Source organism: Homo sapiens, chromosome 21 (genome assembly GCF_000001405.40).
Source record: "Homo sapiens chromosome 21, GRCh38.p14 Primary Assembly".
Taxonomy (NCBI): Eukaryota; Metazoa; Chordata; class Mammalia; order Primates; family Hominidae; genus Homo; species Homo sapiens.
The window spans coordinates 30,922,833-30,928,481 of NC_000021.9; the positions used below are offsets into that span (position 1 = coordinate 30,922,833).

The 5,649-nt window shown below is 38.2% G+C and overlaps 1 annotated feature.

The window, feature by feature from the left end:
• Positions 1,175-1,344: an enhancer, noted in NCBI's record as "experimental_61943 CRE fragment used in MPRA reporter constructs". NCBI's record gives its function as "activates a minimal promoter by MPRAs in K562 erythroleukemia cells, with activity observed for both the introgressed and non-introgressed 21:32296411 variant alleles {active_cell/tissue: K562}" and the evidence as "EXISTENCE:reporter gene assay evidence [ECO:0000049][PMID:34662402]".

Here is a 5,649-nt window from a genome sequence, read left to right on the forward strand (position 1 = left end):
GTGTGATGTGAACGAGTACATCTCCCTCTAAGAACACCACTGTTTGTTTATTTTTGCAGACAAGGATGGCAACATTCAATGTACCTAGTTGAGTAAGGAGGATGGCAAGAATGCTCAGTCCCTGGAAGCTGAACACCTCATTATAGTACCAGAGCCTGGCATCTGCATAATTCCTGGTTCTTATTTGTACTGAAGACCAAATGAAACTCACCAAGGCCCAGTCCTGCATTGTGCACTGGGTTGCACATACTCAATAAGAATTTGTAGACTTGCATTTTCTCTTCAACTTTTTATTCCTCTTGATGATCACTTTAACCAACTGCTCAAGAAAATTTTAAAAACAAGTGGAGCTCAACTCAAATTTATTTTTCCAACCTTAAAATATCAATTATTTAATTTTAATGTGCATAAAAATCACCTGTGGGATGTCTCAAAAATCCATATTCCACCTGTTACCGTATGAGGGCTTCCATAATGAAGTACCATATACTGGGTGTCTTAAACAACAGAAATTAACTTTCTCACAGTTCCAGAGGCTATATGTCCAAGATCAAAGTATCTGCAGGTTTGATTTCTTCTGAGGCTTCTCTCCATGGCTTATAAATGGCTGTCTTCTTCCTCTTCCTTCACGAGATCTTTCTATGCATCCGTGTTCCTGATCTCCTCTTCTTAGGACACCAACCATATTGGATTAGGGCCCACCCTAAAGGTCTCATTTTAACTTACTCACCTCTTTAAAAGCCCTATCTCCAAACAGTCACATTGTCAGGTACTGTAAGGCCTTCAACGTATGAATTTTGAGAAGACACAATTCAGCCCACACCACCTCCTCACTCTAGCCCCTACATTTTGATCCCATAAATCTTAATTGGGGCCAGAGACCTTTTATGGGTTTCTTTCTGTTTTATTTTGTTTTGCTTCGGTTTTCATAAACACCTCCGTGATTCTAACAACATAAAATATACTTTGAAAGGAACACTACGTTAGGCTCCTTTCTCCTGAATTCCCAAGAATTCCCTCAGGGAACTCTCCCCACTTCCCTTCCTAACTTATTTTCATGAGCCACTCATAGTTTCTCCACCAGTTTGTAAGCTTGGGGTTATTTGTCCTCTTCTTAATAGTTTTGGTCTATATCCAATGTATTTAACCACTTTTCAGAGGTACACATGAGTTAATGAAACCAAATTTCATCAAGAAAAAACATAATTTGTCTTTGAGTTTGCATCTCAGTGGCTGAGAAACAGAATCAGAGTAAAAAAATCTTTAACAAAACATGAGAAACCAAGTTCCCATTCCATCTTCAGGAGCAGCCATTTTTCTGTGAACATAGGAAGCACTGTAGATCTTTTAAAGAAAAGCTACTAGCAAAGTTGATGTTAGCACAGAAATCTTCATGGAATTAAGCACAGTCCCTGCCTTGGAGGCCTCCAGACAATGCTGACCCCTTAGGGCTCCCATGGGAACACCTAAGGAATACAACGTACTTGACTCGCAGCTACAGTCAACTAAACCAATGATAGCACACCACCAGCAATGAAATACACGCCAGTTCCAGCCAGATGTATCTGTCCTTTCTCAGTTTCAGCATACATTGACCACAAGAATTTCAAAAGAATACTTTTCTAAGAGATTCCACTGATCCTGTGCTTCCAGTTTGGCTGCAAACTGCTAGAGCAGCATTTTTTTTCCAGCTGGCAATAACCCAAAGCAAAAAGCAAAACACCCAACCCACAGGCATATTTACCACTTGAAGTTTTTGAACAGAAGCCTGTGAATTAATCAAGATCTTAAAGGCACTTTTCAATTTGTCTTTTAATAACATGATAGAATCTAGAAACGTTATATTTCCTTCCCTCTCAAGCATAGCATTCCACCCTACAACATGGTTTACTCAATGAAAGCATTTTATATGAAATTCCAAAAATATAGAAATAAGATTTATAATTTCACACTTAGTTTGTTTTGATCAGATTTTTTAAATGTTTACAATGTTTTGATAAGGAAAATCAGAAGCAAAACCAAAAACTATTTCTGATTTAAAAACCTGAAATATTAAGATGTGTCATGTGATAAAATTTAATGCATGTATGAAGAGGTTTTCTGAAAGAGGTTTTATTTTCCCAATTCAATCAATGTTTGTCCAAGATAAGGACAGAAACAGCATTTCAAGGATGTTCTCAAAGATATACTAAAAAAGATGCAAAGACTCCAACTTACAGGCTGCCACTGACAGAGTTAGCTCAATTGAAAAAGTAATCTACTTCAAGAATATCAATATTTTATAAATCCAAGACAATAGCAAAAGACACAAATGTACCTTCAGTAGAAGTAGTGTGACCATGAACCAACTAATAACTCAAGGTTACCCTTTCTGCCAAGGATATGTGTCCAATCCGTAATAATTTGCCAGTCCCCAAATTGTCTCATCAGTCATCTCCAATTATAAATGTATCCAGGGAACTAGTCTGAAAAATAGTAATGCCCTTTTTTCCTTTCTCTTCCTCATCCTTCTTCCTTTAAATGCAGTGTGGGGATGTGATGAGCAGCACAGCGGCGACAGTGGTAACCATCAAGAGAAATGCATGATCAGCAAGATGGCTGACTAGAGGTGCCTAACACTAGTTTCCCCTCAACATAAAAAGGACCAAAATAACAAATAAACAACTAGATATAGACTAGAGCATCTAAAAGAGAGTGCTGGAATACCAGGGAGTAGAGGGAGCCCTGTGGAGCATAATGAAAACTCAGGATGTCAGCATAGAGAAGAGAACGAAGCATGCTGCTTCCATCACATCTTCTCCCCAGTTGAGACTGGTTTGGAGCCAAAACGTGCATTTTTTTTTTTACAGGAAAAAAGATAAGGAGGGGATCCTGAACAGCCTTCATTACCACCATGGATACCTGCAGTCTTTGCTACTGGAGAGTCTCACAGTGCTCACAGACCCTGAGCCCTGTCTAGGGAGATGCCTCAAGTTCATATGGCCTCACTGCTTCAGAGAAGAATCCCATGTTATGCCTTTCCCAACACCCACAACCCAAGCTTCTAAGGCACAGCACCATCTTGAAACTGTAGCCACTGCTATCTGCTAGAGTAAGCACTGCATCTCTACCATCATTTCACCAAATGGAACAATTGCGACCCCAGTGCAAAAGATCACTGCTCCCCTGCCCTCAAGTAACAAGCAGTCCTGCATGCAGAGAAGCAAAGCCCAAGTCAGTGCACCCACAGTATACACTCTCTTGGTATGGGAACCAATCCAATGCCGCACCCCCAGGAAGGCTACCCCTAAGCCAGTGGACCCACTGAGTTCATCCCTTCAGCTTAGGAACCAGCCCAGTGTCCCAACCCCAGCAAGGCCACCACAAATGCCCCTTAGCTTGAGAAACAACCTGATGCCTTTCCCCTGGTGAGGTCACTCCCAAACCAGCAGACCCAGTGCACACACCCCTTGACTTCAGCACCAGCTGGCCTTCTTCCCCCAATAAAGCCATGCCACCACCACCACAAACCCACAAACTCCTGCAGTCTAGGCCACTGAGGCACTCACAGGCATTGCTAATGTTGATTATTGCTGAAAAAGACTTCACATTTACTACATAACTGCATCATTAAAAAAACAAAAACCACGCACAATACCCAACCACCACCCAAGAACTCATCTGCAAGAGAAGTCTTTCCCTATGAAAGCTACTCCATAAAATTGGAAAAGGTGAATGTTCTTGACACCACAAAAGGAACTCAATAATTCTCGAATAACTGGCCCCCAAAGAAAAGGAAATTTCCAAAATGCCTGAAATGGAATTCAAAACAATAATCCTAAGGAAATTTAGTGAGATACAAGAGACTATAGGTAGACAATTCAATAAAATTAGAACAATTCATGATATGAATGAGAAAATCAACAAAGAGATGGATTTTTTTAAAAAAAGAACCAAGTAGAATCTCAGAGCTAATAAATTCAATAAATGAAATTTAATATACAACTGAGGGTTTCAACAAACTAGATCAAGCAGAAGTAAGCATTTCTGAACCTAATGACAGGTTTTTTTTTTAAATAACCCAGTCAGATTTAAAAAAAGAAGAATTAAAAAGAATGAAGAAAGCCCATGATACTTACAGGCCAACGTTAAGTGAACAAATGTTTGCATTATGAGGGTTCAGAAGGATAAGAGATGGAGAAAGTTATAGAAAACTTATTTAACAAAATATAGCTGAACACTTTCCAAGTCTTGGGAAAGATATGGGAAGTTCAGATCTAGGAAGTTCAGAAGTTCTCAAATAGATTTCACCCAAAAATATCCTCTCTGAGGCACATCGTAATCAAATCAAAAGTCAAAGTCAGAGAATTATAAAAGCAGAAAGAGAAAAGTGTTAAGTTACATATGAGACAGTTCCCACTAGACTGAGCAGATTTCTCAGCAGAAACCTTGCAGGCCAGGAGAGAATGGGATGATATAGTCAAAATGCTAAAAGACATAAAAACTACCAATCAAAAATACCATACCCTGCAAAACTATCCTTCAGAAATGAAGGAGAAATAAAGTCTTTCCCAAACAAGCAAAATGTGGAAGAATTTATCACCACTAGACAAGCCTTACAAAAAATGCTTAAGGAAGTGTTTCAACAGGAAACAAAAGGAAAGTCATTACTATCAGTGTACTGTAGCGATGGTATGAAAATGTTTCAAATATCTAGTATGAAGGTTGAAAGCCAAAATGGCCAAAAGTAACTATAGCTACAATAAGTTGTTAGGGAACCCACAATACGAAAACATGTAAATTAAGGCAACAAAAATATAAATTGTAGGTGGAGGATAAAAATCTAGTGTATATATGCAACCAAAGTTAAGTTGTTATCAGCTTAAAATAGTATAACTACAAGATTCCTTATGTTAGCCCCATGGTAACCACAGAGAAAAAAAATATAGCAGATGCAAGAGACAGAAGGAGAAAGGAATCAAAGCTTATCAGTAGAGAAAACCACCAAATCAGAAATATAAGCAATAAGAAAGAAAGAAGCAAATAATCTACAAAACAATCAGAAAACAGTTAACAAAATGGCAGGAACAAGTCCATTTAATAAACTTGAATGTAAATGGATTAAATTCTCCAATTAAAATGCACAGCAAAAGAAACAATCATCAGAGTGAACAGAAAACCTAGAGAATGGGTCAAAATTCTTGCAGTCTATCCATTTGACAAAGGTCTAATATCCAGAATCTCAAGGAGCTTAAATTTACAGGAAAAAAACAACCTCATTAAAAAGTAGGCAAAGGACATGAACAGACACTTCTCAAAAGAGGATGTACATGCAGCCAACAAACATATGAAAAAAAAGCTCAACATCACTGATCATTAGAGAAATGCAAATCAAAACCACAATGAAATACCATCTCATGCCAATCAGAATGGCTACTAGTAAAAAGTCAAAAAAACAACAGATGTTGGTGAGGTTGTGGAGAAAAAAGAACACTTTTACACTGTTGGTAGGAGTGTAAATTAGTTCAACCATTGTGGCAATTTCTCAAAGACCTAGAAACAGAAATACCATTTGACCAAGCAATCCCATTATTGGGTACATACCCAAAGGAATATAAATCATTCTATTATAAAGATACATGCATGCATATGTTCATTGCAGCACTATAG